General features: G+C 36.5%; 1 protein-coding gene and 1 long non-coding RNA gene across 27 annotated transcripts in view, besides 1 other annotated feature; both read right to left on the reverse strand.

The window, feature by feature from the left end:
- The window catches only part of LOC124900232 (uncharacterized), a 58,562-nt gene extending 53,746 nt beyond the window's left edge, over positions 1 to 4,816 (reverse strand). The window contains exon 1 of the long non-coding RNA XR_007060475.1: positions 2,490 to 4,816. This is a non-coding gene — a long non-coding RNA (uncharacterized LOC124900232). The remainder of the gene's footprint in view (positions 1 to 2,489) is intronic.
- The window catches only part of IMMP2L (inner mitochondrial membrane peptidase subunit 2), an 899,849-nt gene that overhangs the window by 725,438 nt on the left and 154,450 nt on the right, over positions 1 to 19,961 (reverse strand). The gene's annotated exons all lie outside the window — the stretch shown is intronic.
- Positions 4,840 to 5,341: an enhancer, noted in NCBI's record as "NANOG hESC enhancer chr7:111032977-111033478 (GRCh37/hg19 assembly coordinates)". NCBI's record gives its function as "activates a minimal SCP1, AML or CMV promoter by ChIP-STARR-seq in naive H9 embryonic stem cells {active_cell/tissue: H9 hESC(naive)}" and the evidence as "EXISTENCE:reporter gene assay evidence [ECO:0000049][PMID:30033119]".

Consider the following 19,961-nt stretch of genomic DNA (forward strand, 5'->3'; position numbering starts at 1 on the left):
CACTTTTAGAGTCCACACAGCCCTTTATATCTAAAAGAAAATAATAAAAGTGCTAGGAAACAAGAAGTATCTGGGCCAGTTACCCTTGGTTAGGACTGAGAAATTAGCTGGCACAGACAGCAAGACCGGGACCAAATATTCAACCAGTTGGCTGGGGATAGTGGGTTGAGGTCAAGGAGATGACCCATACAGCTGTAAAATTAAGTATAAAAAGGGGAAATTGGGCAAACAAATAAATATACTGAGGATAATGGGAGCCAGGTTTTCTAATGTTGGAGAAGGAACCTACAAGTACAAAAAGGGGAAGGAAGAATAAACCCTGTCGTTTGGAATCGAGGAGATCAGTGGGAACATATATTTTTAGATAATCACTGATCAATAGATAGATAGATGGAGATGTATATGTATATATGTACGTACATATATACATGTAATGTACATATGTATTAGTCCGTTTTCATGCTGCTGATAAAGACATACCCAAAACTGGGAACAAACAGAGGTTTAATTGGACTTACAGTTCCACATGGCTGAGGAGGCCTCAGTATCATGGCAGGAAGCGAAAAGTACTTCTTACATGGCAGTGGCAAGAGAAAAATGAGGAGGAAGCAAAAGCAGAAACCCCGGATAAACACATCAGATCTCGTGAGACTTATTCACTACCACGAGAATAGCACAGGAAAGACCGGCCCCCATGATTCAATTACCTCCCCCTGGGTCCCTCCCACAACACATGGGAATTCTGGGAGATACAACTCAAGTTGAGATTTGGGTGGGGACACAGCCAAGCCATATCAATATATGTATGTACATGCATATATGTACATACATATATACATATAATGTGCAAATCTGTATTTCCTAGGTTTGTTCACTGAAAAGATCTAGAAGCAAAGACACCTCAGTAGTAAAGAGCAATCTTAGACCCAGTAGCAAAGAGCAACCTTAGCATCCACTAAAAGAAACCAGAAGTCTTTGGTAGCGCCAGGGCTGGGGCAAGAAAAGTACAAGATAAGCTTGAACCACACCTTTTAACATGAGGAACTGAGAACATAGCATCGCTTTTGTGGTAATAATGCCCAAAATAACAACTTATTCATAAGGAAACATCAGATAAACCCAAGTAGAGAAACAAAACATAGCTGTACTCTTCAGAAATGTCAAAATCATTAAAGATAAGGCAAGATTAATGAAGATTCCAGATTGAAGGAGAGCAAAGAGCCAGGGCAGCTAAATACAAGGCTTAGATTCTGGACATATAAAGAACATCATTGGGACAGTTAGTGAATTATGAATTGAATCTGTGTAATAGACGGTAATATTGTATCAATACTAGTTTCCTATTTTGGTGGTTATACTGAGATTATGTAGGGAAATGTCCTTATTTTTAGAAAATAGTCACTGAAGTACTAAGGGAGTACTGGGGCATCATGTCTCCAATGTACTCTCAAGCCAAAAAAAAACTTCAAAATAATAATAATGTGTAATGGTAAGAGGAGAGGGAGGGCAGATTGAGAGAGAGAGAGAGAATATGATAAAGCAACTATAATAAAATTTTAATATTGAAAATTTGAGTGAAAATCATATCAGTTCTTTGTACTATTCTTGCAATGTTTCTACAAGCTTGAAATCATTGTCAAATGATTAAAAAACAAAGACATGTTTGGCCTTAAATGCCCATATAACTATTAAGAAAAACCTTAACTCTCTATGAAGGGCCACAATCTGCTCTGAATTTTGAATATAAAAAAGTATGCTTGTGCTAGAGGCTAATACAGCCTATATAATTCTAAGGGCACTAAACAAATAAAATAAGGATGTTAAAAGGTGTCTTGAACGTGTCTAAAATCTGTAAAATGTTAATTCTCACAGAATACTTGGCTTAGAAAGATGATGTACATTGGGGAATTATAAATATAAGGATAAAATTGCAAAATTTCCCTGATAGTCACAAAATAAGACCTATGTAGACAACAGTATGCATCACCCAGATCCCCCTTCAAAGAAGCACTCACTCATGGCCCATATATGGGCAGTGCAGTCAGTAGACAGCCGCCAGGTCAGTAGACTTCAACATCGCCACAGCTGCAGAGAACCGCCCTCCCTTGGGGTATTCGACATCCTCAGACAGGGCAGGGGTAACTTGAGACAACTCTGAAGGCCACACTGTCTGAGGGCCCCACTGGCTTGTCTAGGGTTCTGTCAGGCCTGCCTCACAGTTTGGCTTCCTCCCCTGCTCAATCCTGTATCTTTCTTCTTCCTTTCCCCAGGGATGATCCCTAAAATACATCTCACACCCCAAACTCCATCTCAATGTCTGCTTCTAGGGAACCCAACCTGCCACAGGACCTCTTTTGTGACTTGACAAAACATAGCTTGATATAGGCACATTTTATAATTTTGTCTTGTGAGTAGGTAACTTTATTTCCTCAAAAGACAGGTATAAATTTTTTTCAGGTAAATTCTGTCTCTAAATCTCATCCATTTACCTTCTCATGCGGTGTGACAGAAAAAGTGTACTTTCCCCTTTTCATGTTAGCCAAATATAAAAGATAATCATTGTTTAAACAACAAATTTCCCTCTTATGGTCCATTAGCTCCTGCTGCTTGTTCCTGTAGTGAAATAGAAATACAACAAACGATTTCCATGGCAATAGGTAATAATCTAGCAAATGTGAATTTCCGACTTAGCAACAGAACAAAGCAAGAAGAAATTATGGAACTGCAGTGGGGCTAAATTTCAATTTCTGTGTATTTTTAGTATCACATTTTAAAACAAAAAAGCACAAATGCAGACACATTAACACGTAACTATGAAGAATAAAATTCTAATTATAGGATAAATTCAAGAGACCTCAATAATCAACCTGTAATATCACTCCTTACTTCACTACTAAAATATATTCAACTAACATAAAACACCTTACCTTACAAATTTGAGAATTCTTACACTTATTTGAAAGCCTATTATCTACTATAATAGCAGTCCCAATTACTGATATATCCTGTTATTTTCATTTTTAGTAATAATTATAAACATGGCTTATTGCTAATATGTAAACGAAAGATGTTCAAAGGACTAAAGAATCTCTAGGAAGCACAGGAATAGAGGAACTGGAAAGACTGCAAGCATCAGGAGCAGCTCTCTTGCTGATACTCCATTAGTCAAGGCTCTCCACTCCCTTGTGGAACATGCAGCACCCTGTACAGGCTACTCTCTAGTCTGCACCTGCTCTTCTTCCCACCCCTGAGCTTCACACTCACCAAGAGGGGTTGTTTTGTTCCCACACTTATTACCATTTCTTCTTGTTATAGTAATTATATAGTTTAATTATATTATTCACAATCTGATGAAATATGAGTGCAGAAAGGATTATCGTATCCAAGAAAGTAAGTACAACGCTTTGCAAAGATTTGATAAAGATGAATCACTAAAACTATGAACAAATTAGATATGGGCAATGTTAGACTGTGGACAGTTACAGAAAAAATAATTCAAATCTAGGATTCTACACTCAGATTGCTTTGTAAGTGTCTTAAATTTCTGCACTTTTAAATAACCCAACGTGAAAATTATAGGTAATGCACTGCCTTCGTTTTATACAGAATGACTATCCAAAGATGCAAATTTTTTAAAATAAAAAGCTTCAGCCTTATACAATCAGAAAAATGGCAAAAAGACAAACAACTACGATAAGAGTATGAGTTCAAGGAAACCTGAATAGAGGTCCTTAATATATGACAACACGACCATACCTCTCTTTCAGTTGCCTCCACTCTCCAGATGGGATTCCTGCCCTCTGTTCTAAAGGATGACATTGAGCACTGCCCGCCTTGTCCTTGACCTCAGATATGCACTTCTTCAATCTTAGGCTAACTCTTCTCGGTTGGCAACAGAGGTTCAGAAAGTGTCTCCTTGCTTCAATGTCCTCTCCTACCTTTGTATATGCAAATTCTTCATTACCAGCTTGATTGCATTTATATCCAGCATACAGCAATGTGCAAACTATATTTTCTCTTTGGCTATTAGCGACCCAAGGAGGACCTCAGACAACAACATACTTTTAGCCCCAAAGTCACATGGGCAATCACATTTCCAATCTTTTAAGCACCCTTCCAATGGATATACTGTCTAACCAGGAAAAAGATTAACTGGACCAGTCAAGTCTCTTTTTCCTATTCTAGCCACATATAAATGATCAATGCCCCCACCCACTGGAAATGTACAGAAGCTACAATAAAAAGAATTTCCTGCCCAGGGCCAAGAATTTATAGATTTAGATTCTAAAGCATCTGATGTGACTACTTTTTTATTTTATTGCCTTAACTTCCTTAGCTACAACTGAACACACTTCCCATCAACCTATTACTTCTTTACCTCCCTCCAGTTTTCCTGGCCTTTAACTCAATGCCTCTCCTAAGTATGCTTGAGCTGTGTTTACTCAAGCCACCTCTGACATCAAGTGAGAAGTGTTTTTCCTTCTAACACCAACCAATTCTGACACAAACTCGAAGTCCCATAATTCAATTAATTCTGATAATAACAACCAGGAGTTAGCATCAGAATTTTTAGTGCTCAGTCCCACAAATCAAGGTCCCTAGGTTACACACACTTCTGTCCAACTTGGCTATAAAGTCTGAGGTGGGAGGGTCCTCCCCTCACTTCAGGTTCAGTAATTTGCTAGAGTGGTCATAAAACTCCAAAAAACACTTTACTTACCATTACTGGTGCATTAAAAGTACCACAAATGAAGAGCCAGATGAGGAGGTAAATCTAGTGAGGTCTGGAAGGGTCCAGAGCATAGTAGCTTTTGTCCCCATGGAGCTGGGGGGTCCCACCCACCTGGCATGTGGATGTGTTCGCCAATTATAAAAGTCTCAGAACCCAAGCATTTAGGGGTTTTTGTGGAGGCTGCATTACATAAGCGTTATTCATTAAATCACTGGCCATCAGTGATTAGCTCAATCTCCAGCCCCTTTGCCCTCCCCAGAGGTTGTCACATGAGATTAAAAGTCCCAAGCTGCTAATCAAGGCTTGGTCTGTTGGGCAACCAGCCTGCAACCTGAAGCTTTTTAAGGGCCCACCAAGAATAACCTCACTAGAACAAAAGATGCTCTCATCACCCTAATAACTCAGGAAATTCCAAGGATTTCTGAAGCTCTCTGCTGGGAACTGGAAACAAAAAAAGAAATATCTTTCTACACTACTATAATGCTTTAATCTCTTTTTTCCACTTTTTCACAGATCTTACAAGTGAATAGCCAGTTACTTGTTCCCTGGCTCTGCAACAGCTCTCCTCCCATTACCTTTTGTAAAAAACTTGTCCCATTTCTCTTTCCCTTCCTTCCTCCTTCCTCAAGTTTTGCACCAAACAATGTGCAGAATTTAGAACACTGCATATTTTCAATTAAATTACTCTATTGTCTGCTGTGCTCAGGGAATATCTGCAGTCTGTAAACTCTGCATGCTAGGAAGAGCTATTTAATCTTGCTCCTGACATTTTACGTAGGAGGGAATGGTTTACAGGCTCAGTGTCTCTAGAAAGAACACTCCCCAAGGAACAACGTATTTATTTCTCAATGTTCTTTTTCTGTTTTACTCTTAAAATCTTTCCTACCACCATCCCTCACGCCCAAGAGTACAACTTTGAAATCTAATGTATAAAACTAGCAGAAATTAAAGTTTATCCTATACTTACATTAAAAGCTACTCCTACTTGAAGATATGCAGACCCCTCCAAATCCTTCTTTTGATTCTCTGCTCACATAAGTGGGTTTTATGTACGTGTGTTTTTTTCCACAAAGGAGAGGCCCAAAGATAGCCAAGAGATCAGGATTGGAACAGTTTCTTAACATCATATTCTCACATTTTCAAAATTTCCTCCTTTATTAGTGATAAACTTTTTAAAAACTGATTTCAAAATAGGAAACAGTTGTTCATCAGTCTGCTAGTCTCACTTTCACCAATCAACATATTTCATTGATGATAATATAATTTTTAAAATATTTTATCATCTCTGGAATCAAGATATATCTTACAGTCGATAATATCATAGTTTAACTGACAATATTTTTGATAAAGTACATGAAGAAATACTTTATCATAAATACATAAGACAAAGATAAAATAAATGACACAAAGATGAATCTTAGGTTTGATAAATATATTAAGTTCCTCTCTCAACAGTTTCTGGCTTACCTCAGATATAACCTATGTAAAGCATTTAGCATTAAATGTAGTATAACAGATTTTCATTGCTGCCATCATTGATGACATCAACATCATCAACATCATCATCATTTCTAAACAAATAACAAAAGTCTCAGAAACAAATATGAATCAAGTTAGGGTTCTGATGTGTTCTCCTTATTCTATTTCTTTTCTGAGTGCCATTTTTGTTTGTTTGTTTTCTATCCTAATTTTCTAAATTTTTCATTTGTCCCCATATTAAAAAACTGTAAACACTCTGATGGGGTTATGTAAGGTTGTGCTAAATGACTTAGCTCAGAGTATTCAAGCCGAAATAAGTTAGTTCTTTCATCTCAAAGAAATAAGTAAATAAATAAAGTAATAAAGTTCTTTCATCTCAAAGAACTTTAAATATCCGTCCCTGTCACTAGCTACCAAATCAAAAACCTAGGAATCTCATTGGAAAATAGACTATAAGACAATTCCATGGTTATGAGTTTTAAAAGATAACTCTAATCGATCATCCTTTTTTTGTACTTATTTTTTGTATATTTGTAAAATAGTAGTTACATGAAGCAAATAGTATCAGTGTAAGGCCCATTCACTTTTCAGGCTACTCGACATGCAGAAATGGTGGCCATTGATCAGGTCCTTGATTGGTGTCATCGAAGTGGCAAGGGTCTTTCTGAAGTATTTGAACACACTGTTATATGTCACTGTGGAGCTGTGCATTATGTGTGCAGCTGTTCGCCACCTGATGAGTATCCTTTGACTTCATGAGTTAATGTCTTGTACCATTCATGTGAACATGAGAGTGGCCAAACATATAGCGCAGCAGGAAGCAGAGGGCAGCTGTGACGGGACTGGCCAGCAGTGGTTAGGATGGTGAAAACACTAAGAAGCCAAAGGAGTCAAGAGTAGTCAGACAGAGCAGGTGTGGCCAATTGCCTCAATCATCTTTTTCTTTCAACCAAAAGTATCAAGTTATATTTTCTATTTTTTCTTCCACATCACTCTTCTACCCTCTGCCATTTTTTTCTTTCTCCATAAATGGAAACCTAAAATGTATTTCTACCATAATTAGAAAGCAATCAATAAAAAATTTTAGTCCAATTTTGTTCGTGTCTCCACACATTACTACATGAACTCAGTTTTACTTTATACTGTATTATAATCATTTGAGCAAAATTTCTTTATTTCTTGTAAATGAATGTGCTAGTATAAGAAATATCTACATTTTAATGAAAATCATAGTACAGGTACAAAATTTCTAAAAGTGAGAAAATGAAGCAAACACAATACAGCTTTTTGGTACTTTTACATATGTAATCTTTCTTTATTCTGCTGTTGATAGTTTTTGCCTTTCGCCCATTTAAGTAAGTTAATTGAAAGCATAGTATAATTTAATCTCTATTGTACTAAAAATACACAACTATCTATAGTAATATTATTCTGCCACATTCTCAAAAAAACTATTGGGCATTAATTCCATCTGGACTCTCCACTAAATAAGCATTAGTAAACAAATTTACTTAAACTATAAAATTCATATTACTGAATTTGCATATATCCAGAGTGTCTGAAGAAGAGAAAACAAACATATGAGAAAAAGCTCATCATCACTGGTCATTAGAGAAATGCAAATCAAAACCACAATGAGATGCCATCTCATGCCAGTTAGAATGGCGATTATTAAAAAGTCAGGAAACAACAGATGCTGGTGAGGCTGTGGAGAAACAGGAATACTTTTACAGTGTTGGTGGGAGTGTAAATTAGTTCAACCATTGTGGAAGATAGTGTGGCAATTCCTCAAGGATCTAGAACTAGAAATACCATTTGACCCAGCAAACCCATTACTGGGTATATACCCAAAGGATTATAAATCATTTTACTATAAAGACACATGGATATGTATGTTTATAAAGACACATGGACACGTATGTTTACTGCAGCACTATTTACAATAGCAAAGACTTGGAACCAACCTAAATGCCCATCAATGATAAACCGGATAAAGAAAATGTGGCACATATATACCACGGAATACTATGCAGCCATAAAAAGAATAAGTTCATGTCCTTTGCAGGGACATGGATAAAGCTGGAAGCCATCATTCTCAGCAAACCAACAAAGGAACAGAAAACCACATGTTCTCACTCATAAGTGGCAGTTGAACAATGAGAACACATGGATACAGGGAGGGGAACATCACACACCAGGGCCTGTGGAGGCTGTGGGGCAAGGGGAGATATAGCATTAGGACAAATACCTAATGCATGCAGGGCTTGAAACCTAGATGATGGGTTGACAGGTGCAGCAAACCACCATGGCACATGTATACCTATTTAACAAACCCGTACGTTTTGCATATGTATCCCAGAACTTAAAGTAAAATAAAAATGAAAAAGAATAGATAAATATAGTTAGCAAATTATATGTATATATACAATACTATCATAACAATATACAATGCTAGTCTGTAGTTTGTAACTTTTTCTCATAAAATAAATGAAGCTTTAGAAAACATTTTTCACTGGGTGCGGTGGCTCACGCCTGTAATCCCAGCACTTTGGGAGGCCGAGGAGGGCGGATCACAAGGTCAGGAGATTGAGACCATCCTGGCTAACACGGTGAAACCCCATCTCTACTAAAAATACAAAAACAAAATTAGCTAGGCATCGTGGCAGGCGCCTGTAATCCCAGCTACTCAGGAGGCTGACGCAGGAGAATGGTATGAACCAGGGAGGCAGAGCTTGCAGTGAGCTGAGATCGCGCCACTGCACTCCAGCCTGGGCAACAGAGCGAGACTCTATCTCAAAAAAAAAAAGAAAACATTTTTCACTATAAGAAAATAAAATCACTTATAATAGACATATTTCCAATATTTACATTCTCTGTAGTCCTCTAGTCCTTTATCTAGACATATATACTATATTTTTCAAATACTGGAATTATAGTATACATCATTTTGTAACTTGCTTTTTTGTTTGACAATATTATAGGAGCACTTTCAATATTCATAGTCTTCGAAAACATGATTTTTGAATGGCTGTATGAATATTCCATCATTTGTAAATATTGTAGTTGATTTTGCTAACCCACCACTATTGGACAGTTACTACCATAATAATGCAGTAGCGAACATCCCTTTATCTTTGCTCTGGTCTCTGATTTATGTCTTGGAAAAAAATTCTAAAAGTTGAAAGTACCAAGTAAAGACATGTAAATACTGTCAAGCCTTTTGATGCCTACCACCAAACTGTTCTTTCTCCAATATCTATAAAAGTACAGTTTAAAGAAACCATCAATATTGTGTTGCTGGTATGATGGATGAAAAAGTATGTCTCATTTAATTTCATGCCATTTCATTTACAAGTAAGATTAATCACTTTAATAAATTCATTTTTCATTTTCTTTTTTGAACTATCTGTTCATGACCTTTGCCTATTATCCTTCGGATGTATTTGCTTTTTATTACTATTTTGTGGCTGTTTTTTATACAGGAGTGATATGTTTGATGTTGCAAATACTTTTCCAGGTTCTCATTCACTTTATCATTTCATGTTTTTTTGACATATAAGAGACTTTCATTTTGCATAATCAAATTTGTTAAACTTTTCCTTCATTATATGTCCCTTTGGTTTTATATCGAGGAAGGCCTTTCTGGGCCTACTATGAAATAATTCATTTATACTTTCTTCTAAGTATTTTATGACTTACATTTAATATTATTTCTATATTTAACCCATCTGAAATGCATTTTGTATACAGAATTGGAGAGAGCTAATCATGTTTTTTTCAGACAAAAGTATTTTAACACGTCAAGTTTAAACCATAAACACTTTTCGGATTAATTTTTTTCCATAAGTTTTTGGGGTGGAGGTGGTATTTGGTTACATGAGTAAAAGAAAACTACTGACTGATATCCTTGATCAACACAGATGCTAAACTCCTTAACAAAACACTAGCTAACCTAATCCAACAACATATCAAAAAGATAGTCCACCATGATCAAGTGGGTTTCATACCAGGGATGCAGGAGTAGTTTAACATACACAAGTCAATAACTGTGATACACCATATAAACAGAATTAAAAATAAAAATCACATGATCATCTCAGTAGGTAAGAAGTATTCGACAAAATCCAGCATCCGTTTATGATTAAAACTTTCAGCAAAAATCGACATACAAGGGACATACCTCAATGTAATAAAAGCCATTTATGACAAACCCACAGCCAACATAATACTAAATGGGGAAAAGTTGAAAGCATTCCTTCTGAGTACTGGAACAAGACAAGGATGCCCCCTCCCACCACTTCTCTTCAGCATAGTACTGGAAGTCCTAGACAGAGCAAACAGACAAGAGACAGAAATAAAGGGCATCCAAATCGGTAAAGAGGAATTCAAACTGTCACTGTTTGCTGAAAACATGATCATTTACCTTGAAAACCCTAAAGACTCCTACAGAAAGCTCCTAGAACTGATAAAAGAATTCAGCAAAATTTCCAGATATAAGATTAATGTACACAAATCAGTAGTTCTTCTATACACCAACAGTGACCAAGCAGAGAATCAAATAAAGAACTCAACCCCTTTTACAATAGCTGCAAAAAAAAAAAAAAAATACTTAGGAATACAGCTAAACAAGGAGTTGAAAGACCTCTACAAGGAAAACTACAAAATGCTGCTGAAAGAAATCACAGATGACACAAACAAATAGAAACACATCCCATGCTCATGGATGGGTAGAATCAATATTGTGAAAATGACCATACTGCCAAAAGCAGTCTACAAATTCAAAGCAATCTCCACCAAAATACCACCATTATTCTTCTTCACAGAATTAGAAAAAACAATTCTAAAATTCATATGGAACCAAAAAAGAGCCTGCATAGCCAAAGCAAGACTAAGCAAAAAGAACAAATCTGGAGGCATCACACTACCTGATTTCAAACTATACTGTAAGGCCATAGTCATCAAAACAGCGTGGTACTGGTTTAAAAATAGGCACATAGACCAATGGAACACAATAGAGAACCCAGAAATAAACCCAAATACATACAGCCAATTGGTCTTCAACAAAGCAAACAGATTAATTTTTTTTTGACCCAGTATCTCTTTCTGTTGCCCAGGCTGCAGTGCAATGGCATAATCTCAGCTCACTGCAACCTCCACCTCCCAGATTCAAGTGTGCTTCAGCCACCTGAATGCCTGGGATTACAGGCATGCACCACCATGCCTGCCTAATTTTTTTATTTTTATTAGAGACAGGGTTTCATCATATTGCCCAGGCTGATCTCCAACTCCTGGTCTCAAGTTATCCATCAGCCTCAGCCTCCCAAAGTGCTGGGATTACAGGCATGAGCCTCTGCACCCGGCCTAGATGTATTATTAATGCATTATTATTAATGTATCCTTTCATACTAACAACACCTAAGTTGTTTTTAACATGTACTAACATTTCCTACCTTTTAAACATGTAGTAGTATATCCTATCATTTAAACATGTACTAGCATATCCTATCTTTAGGCTCCTTTAATATAGAGTCAAGGTTCTCCTTCTCCTTGCTTCCCATGCTACCAGCACTATAAAGTAAGAGAATCAACAAAACATCCTATATTATAAAGAGTAGTTTGACGTTTTGGCTCTATGTAGAACACATCAATTATATCTATAATATATTAATTTAAAAAGTGAACTCAATTCCTCTAGCTATTGAAAAAGATTTGCCCCAGAAGTCTTTTCTGAGTCCTTAGTCCCACTCTCCATCTGAATGTGATACCTCTCCTGTGTGTTTTCCAAGACCTCTCAACGTATCTGATCACAGCCCTTATCACCTTATATTTCTGACTTACTAGTCAGTCCCCCAACTAAACCAAAAGAATTTCAGAAGAACTATGTCTCAGATATTTTATCACTATCACCTAGCTCATAGTAAGCAGTCTGTAAATATTTGTTAAATAAATGAATGAGTACAAGACTACAAGACTTTTAATTCCTTTCAGGCCTGCCAGTGACTAACGATTGCAACAGTGAATAAGTCACTTAACATTTTAGACTGTGGTGAACAATTCAGAAATCAGTAATTTCTTAGCACAAAGATCTCTTAAGATTTTTCAATCTCAAAATTCTATGATGACATGACCTGTATCCCCAGAAACCAATTTTACACACCCTGCTGCTACATCTCTTGCTTGGTAATATTCCCCTATCCCCACCAGTCTGACCCTTCCAGACTTCCTTGACCTTCTCCAGCCTACCCCACTGTCCATTTAAAATGTTCTCACCTTGTGCTCCTTAAGGCTTTTCTATGGATCAGCCATCTATATCTGTAGTCTGAACAACAGTGCATTTTACTGTACCTTCCCCATGTTAAATTTGTGTGTAGATATACTGCATGGCTTATTCAGAAGATATCGGTGATGTGAAATGCTTAGGTGTGAGGTTAAAAAGGAGCTCTCAATCTCTTGCTTACCCCATAGACTTATCTTTGGAAATGCGTATGACATTAGATCAATGACTGCATCCTACTCTAAAACAAAATGCCTCAAGAGTATTAGTATTATTTTATAATTTTACAACTTTTCTTGTTTCCATAATGATCAACAGAAGTGACATGATTTTGCAGTCATGCCAAAAAAGAAAAAAAAAAGGATTATACTGATAATCTCTTCCCAAATATATTCTGGTGAGGAAAGGTTTATTTTGTTGCTTTTTGCTTTTTGTCATTTCCTTGCTCTAGTTTAGTTGTTTTTAATATTTCCATAAATGTTGGGAGTAAGTTTACTTTGGACAGAACAGATTTGCTTCTATTTTTAAGAATTTGAGAGCATGTGGTGAGATTGTTTATCTTGTTGAAATACCCCAAAAACTCAGCCTCTTGATCTAAAATGCAATCCAATAAGTTATAACATGAGTTAAGGTTAATCTGTAAATAAAATACAATTCCAATTTGCTAGTGAATACTTACCTGTAAATACTAAAGACAGTATTTTAACTCAAACATTTTCTGATTGCCAACCTATTCTAAGTGTTATGGGGGAGCAAAGGCAATTAAAGTCAATTTTCTGCCTCCAAGGAGTGTATTCTGATTAAGACAGACCTGTGCTTAACTAACAATAACACAAGGCAGAATATGGTTCTTTAAAGAAAAACAAATCCTGTAGTAGCAAAAGAATTTTAGCATTAAAATAATATATAGATAAGTAGGATTAAAACTGCAGTTCTAATACCTTTCCAAATTTCAATGTACTTCTTTGAATAAGAGAAAAATTAACCAGTCATGTCCTTTCCAAAGAAACACTACAGATTACACATCCTGTAGCACTCTGGAATTATGGGCTCTGACTGGTAGTAGACTACTACTTCTGTTCAAGAGGTTCTTTAAATATTCACGAAGTCTGATTGAGAAAAATGTTAAGCAAGTCATGGTCATACTGAGCAATTCAACTGGTAAACCACGGACTGCATAGCTACGTTCAACATCAGATGGAAGGAATAACTTGAGAGGCTATTAAGGAATAGAATTAGGAAGACTATAGGCTCATTATTAAACCATTATTTATTTAGCACTGCCAACATTCCAAACACAGTGGTAAATGCAAGACTGGTGAATACAATCCATAAAAATATTCTCTGAGAGACTGTTTATCATGTTATAAATTCAAGGTTTTAAAAAAATAATAGAAGCCAGGTAGGGTGGCATGCATCTCTAGTCCCATCTACTCAGGAGGTTGAGGCAAGAGGACTGCTTGAGCCCAGGAGTTCAAGGCTGTAGTGAGCTACGACTGTGCTTGTGAATTGCCACTGCACTCCAGGCTGGACCACATAGCAAGACCCCATCTCAAAAATAATAATAATAATAATAATAATAATAATAATAATAATAATAATAATATTAAGTTAGGAAAAAGCAATCCTCCATTCATTCACAATGTACATGTCCTATATATTCAAATTAAAACCAAGCAAAAGCCTTCTGTTCTGAAACTAACTTTCTATGAAACGCCCAACTTGTATTCCCAGCAATATCAAGTTTCCTTATTCATCTCTATAGATTACCTCATATAATGAAATGGAATCATCCTTTTCCAGAATTAAGATGCTGCTTTTATCACTTTACTTGCTCAAAAACCTTAAAAGCTTTCATTTACAGATGGGCACGGTGGCTCACGCATGCAATCCCAGCACTTTGGGAGGCTGAGGCAGGCAGATCACCTGAAGTCAAGAGTTCAAGACCAGCCCAGGCAACACAGTGAAACCCCGTCTCTAATAAAAATACGAAAATTAGCCAGGCGCAGTAGCATGCACCAGAAGTCCCAGCTACTCGAGAGGCTAAGGCAGGAGAATTACTTGAATTACCAGGAGGCAGAGGTTACAGTGAGCCAAGATCGCACCACTGCAATCCAGCCTGGGTGACAGAGTGAGATTCTGTCTCAAAACAAAACAAAAAAAGCTTCAATTTACTATAAAATCAAATTAAAAATCCTCAAGGTGGCATTCAAGAATCTGCATATCTGTATATTAAAACTATTTCCTAATACCTTCACAATGGAAATTTTCTGTTCCAGACACATTGCCTTCATAGTCCACGAACACATTATATATATTTATGTCTATTTACATCTATTCTTTCTTTTCTTTCTCTGAGACAGGGTTTCACTCTGTCACCCAGTCTGGAGTGCTGTGGTGCAATCTCGGCTCACTGCAGCCTTGACCCCCCCCCCCCACCCCGCCAGGCTCAGGTGATCCTCCCACCTCAGCCTCCCAGGCAGCTGGGACTACAGGTGCAAGCTACCACGACCGTGATATGGTTTGGCTCTGTGTCCCCACCCAAATCTCATCTCAAATTGTAATCCCCACATGTTGAGGAAGGGACCTGGTGGGAGGTGACTGTATCACAGGGCGGTTTCCCCATGCTATTCTCGTGATAGTGAGTACTCACGAGATCTCATGGTTTAAAATTGTTTAATAGGTCCTCCCCCCTCACTCTCTCTCTCTCTCTCCTGCCACCACATAAGACATCCACTTTGCCTTCCACCATGATTGTAAGTTTCCTGAGGCATTTCCAGCCATGTAGAACTGTAAGTCAATTGAACCTCTTTTCTTTATAAATTACCCAGTCTCAGGTAGTTCTTTATAGCAGTGTAAAAACAGACTAATACAGCCCAGGTATATATATATATATATATTTTTAAACAGGGTCTCACTTTGTCACCCAGGTTGGTGCAATCACACCTGCAATGTTGGTGCAATGTACCAGGTTGGTACAATCACTGCAGCCTCAAGTAGTAAGTATTCAAAATATATGTTTTGTTTAAAGGGGGTCAATAAAATAATCTAAGTCAACTATTTTATTTATTACACATGAAGAATCACAGGAAAAAAGTTAAGCAGCTATTCCAAATTACATAGTTTGAAAGCTACATCCCAAACACAAAACCCAATATTTTTTGGGTTGTAAAGAATCCTGCAGAGGATTGTGAAAGGGTAGAAGTGAGGATCCCTTTCTGTGTAATATTGTTAAAGTTGGGATCCTTTGATTACATGATAGCTTGAATTCTAAATACAGAGATGCCATCAGTTAAATATAAAATAATATTGGGGCAAAATTAGCCATGCCACTTGGAAGTCTTTTGAAAGGTTTGTGTTTATTTTTCTAACCTATATATTACTGTAAGAGGCATACTTGGAACAACCCCCCCACAAACACATATACTAATTAACTAATCCAGCAGCGGCATAACACACAGGGAGTTTTATCCTTTATGAAGGCCTGGCATATGCATCACATTTAACACAGCCCTAGCTCACAGTACTTTATCTACTTGGCTAGAAAACAAATGGCCACAGAAATTCATGCTAGTCAATCCATTTTTTATATATTTTGGAGTAAAAAGGATGTAAATTCATCTGAGTAGATAACTAGCATACAAAGAATTCAGGTTGAGTGTGCTACAATTAAAAATGGTCACCACAAGAAGCTGAAATATTAGGAGTGTTCAGGGGCATTACTGAGAGTCTTCAAGCAAAAAGGGTTTTCCCAGCTGTCACTGTAATTACAATGAAAAAATTTTACTTCCTAAGGATTTCATCTAGAACACATTATACATAACAGAATATACATGCATTCAAATGTAATAGACACATAAGGAATACCAATTTTGACTACCTTCTTCCCACAAATCACAAGCGACCTCTGAGCACAACTCTCAAGACTTTTAAATGCTTTCTGGAACTCTTTTTCCATTTAGAAATAAGTAACTACATACAACAGTTCACGGAAAACTCAACCACTTAACTATTTCAGTGAAAACAGGTAGAAAGAAAGTCTATAAACTATACTTTTTATCCATTTGAAAAAATTTAAATTTGGAAAGGAATCACTTCATTCTTAAGGTCCCAACACCCTAAAAATAAAGTTTATTCTAAATTTTCACATTTGTCAAAGACAATAATATCAAGCAGTAGCCCACAATTCCCTAAAGGAATGATGTCAATTGGTATTTCTTAAATTAATTCAGTGACCTACAGTAATGTGAGTTCTTGGTACATAATGTCTGTCAGTAGGCAATACAAAAATTTCAGAATCACTTCTGGTGTCTGAACTCCAAAATGCAACCCAAAAAATGTGTCTAAAGTAGTTCCTTAATTCCTACTTCACCTTGCATCTGTTACTTATAGCAACGTCAGAAAAATAAAAATTACACCAGGTGTAGATTGCTAGAACTACAGTTCTACAAATTAAATACAGTACAAATTTAACCAAGACTTCTGGTAACATACAATCAGTTATCTTTCTGAGCTAAGACATTACAAGTCTGTAACTCCTTTTACCGACTATGGTTTAGTGAGTTTCACATGTGCTTACACAGCTCATTTTTAGTTACTTACTAGACAATGTGCAATGGTGTACTTTTATAAAAATTTCAAAGGTCTCAAGAAATGGAAATACTCAAATTTAAAGGATTTATCTGTTATCTCTGAACTCTCTTTCTCTGCTTTTACTGCTCCCAAGTATACAGGCACCACGAACACAGAGACCAGCTAAAAGTTCAGGAACAGAAAATTCCAACTACATCATCTTAACAAATAACCCCACACATTATAGTTTAAAAATAGCATATTTGAAAAAAATGCACTAAAAATTATTATTAGAACTTCACACTCAAATCTCTAAAAAGTTATGAACATTTTATATTGTAATACACATAAATTCTAAAGAATATCAAAGTATAATATCAGAGAAACAATATGTGTAAGATTATAAAAGATTAGAGTATTATCTGTTTGGATTTTTACATGAATTATTTATGCACTTAAAAACATAGTTGAAGTGAGGAGAAACATAAATGATAACCTAATCACATTCTCTGAGTTTCCCTCCTAGGTCACTGGCTGCTCCTTCTCATTTTCCTGACTCCCATTATTCCTAACCTCTAAGTGTTGGACTACCCTAGGAGGGGTATAGGACTTTTGTCTTTCTCTATTCACTGTCTAGGTCACAGGTCAGTAAACTCTACCTGCAGACCAAATGTAGCTTACCACCTATTAATTTTTATAAATAAAGTTTTATTGGAACGCAGCCACACCCATTTTCTTAATTATTGTCTACAGCTCCTTTCACAATACAAGGTAAAAATTGAATAGCTGCAACAAGGACTAGATAGTGCTTCTGATCCTTTACAGAAGAAAAATTGCCAATCTCTGTCTAGGTGATCTCACTAAGGTGCATAGCTTTAAATATAATGTATATCCTGAAAATTACCCAAATTCTATCTTCAGTCCTGACTCAGATATGAATGACAACTTCTCTACATTATATTTGGATGTCTTATAGGCATACAAATTTAACATGTCTAAAAGGTAAAATTTGCTTTCTACCACCCCTGCCACTCCTTTGCCTCTTGTATCTCAATACACAATTTCCATTCATCCAATTGCTTAGGCCAAAAACTTCAGAATCCTCCTTGATTCCTCTATTTCTCTCATACTCCATATCCCAGCCATCAAAAAAGTACATCTTTAAAATATATCCAGAATCTGGCCACTTCTCAGCCACTCCAATGCTACCACCCTAACTCAAGTCACAACCATTTTCACCTGGACTATTGTAGTAGCCTCCTTACTGGGTCCCTATTTCTGTTCTTGGTCCCTTACACTCAATTTTTACAGAGCATCTAGAGTGATCATGGAATTCCATTACTGAAAACACTTCAAAAGCCATGCAAGGTGTGGCCTCTTGTTATATTCTACCTTTCCTCCCTCTTACTGACTCTGGTCACTCCCCACATGGTCTTTTACTGTCAAGCATGGTCCTGCCTTAGATCTTTGCATTTGCTCTTCTGTCTGGAAAAGTTTCCCCCAACTTATCTAGGTGGTTTAATTCCTCATTTTATTCAGGTCTCTGATCAAAGATTACCTCAAGTTAGAGGTCTTCCTTAATCACTCTCTCTAAATTAGTGACTCCTATCAATTCTATATCCCTGTTAATAGGTGGATTCCCTAGAAAACAGGCTCTAAGATTCTGGGATTTGCATGCATTTTGGGGAGTGCCCTTAGGAACAACATCTGAAAGGGAGTGAAGGAAGCAGGACAGGCAGAGAAAGAAGCTGAATTGCAGTGTGGTTCTAACAGAGGTTTAAGCCACAGGAACCTCTGCAGTGGGTATAGTTTTTGAAAATTATCCCACATGAGGAAAAGAGACAGGGTCTTTGAGCCGACATATACATAATGAAATTCCCAGTATCCCCAGAGTTGGGGTGTAACCTTGAGTAAGACACATAAATATGTGTTTTAGGGAAATGCAAATTAAATCCAAAATAAGATACTACTTTACACACACTAGGATAGCTAAAATCAAAAAAGATAAAAAATAACAAATGTTGGTGAGGTTGTGGGGAAAATAGAACCCTCATACACTGCTCATGGGAATGTAACATGGTACACACAGCAGCTCCGGAAAACAGGTTTGGCAGTCTCTTCAAAAGTTAAACATAAATATATCACACAACTCAGCAATACCATACCTAGAAATCTGCCTAAGAGACATGAAAACATATATCTACGGAAAGAATTATAAAAGCATATTCATGGTATTATTCATAATACCTAAAAGCAACACAACATAAAAGTCTAGCAAATGGTGTGTGGATTAACAAAATGAGGTGCATCTAAACAAAAAATAATATTCAGCAAAAAAAAGAACAAAATACAGATACATACTGTAACATGGATGAACCTCAGAAACATTACACTCAGGGAAAGAAGCCAACACAAAAGACCATTTATTGTGTGATTCTTTTTAAATGAAATATCCAGAAGGGGAAAATCAATAGAAATACAAAATAGATTACTGGTTGCCTGGAGGTAGGGGTAAGAAATAACAGTAAGTGCAAATGGCCATGGGGAGTATTTTCAGGATGATTAAAACATTCCAAAATTGGATTACAGTGATGGCTGTACAACCCTATACATTCACTATATCATCAATTTCTATACTTAGCATGAGTGAATTTTATGAAATGTAAATTACATATAAATAAAGACATAAAAAAGAAAAATAAATATTACTGGCTGATTCTTAAATTGACTAATAATAATGGTGACAATAACTACTACTCACTGAAAATTTGCTTAGGTTCAAGAATTGTTCTGAGTGCTTCATTTGTATTAACTCATTTAATCTTCAACACAATCCTACGAAGCAGGAACTATTTTATTCCTATTTCAGAGATGAGATAACTCAGGCATGGGAAAATTAAATAG

This window comes from Homo sapiens, chromosome 7, assembly GCF_000001405.40.
Source record: "Homo sapiens chromosome 7, GRCh38.p14 Primary Assembly".
NCBI classification, from domain to species: domain Eukaryota; kingdom Metazoa; phylum Chordata; class Mammalia; order Primates; family Hominidae; genus Homo; species Homo sapiens.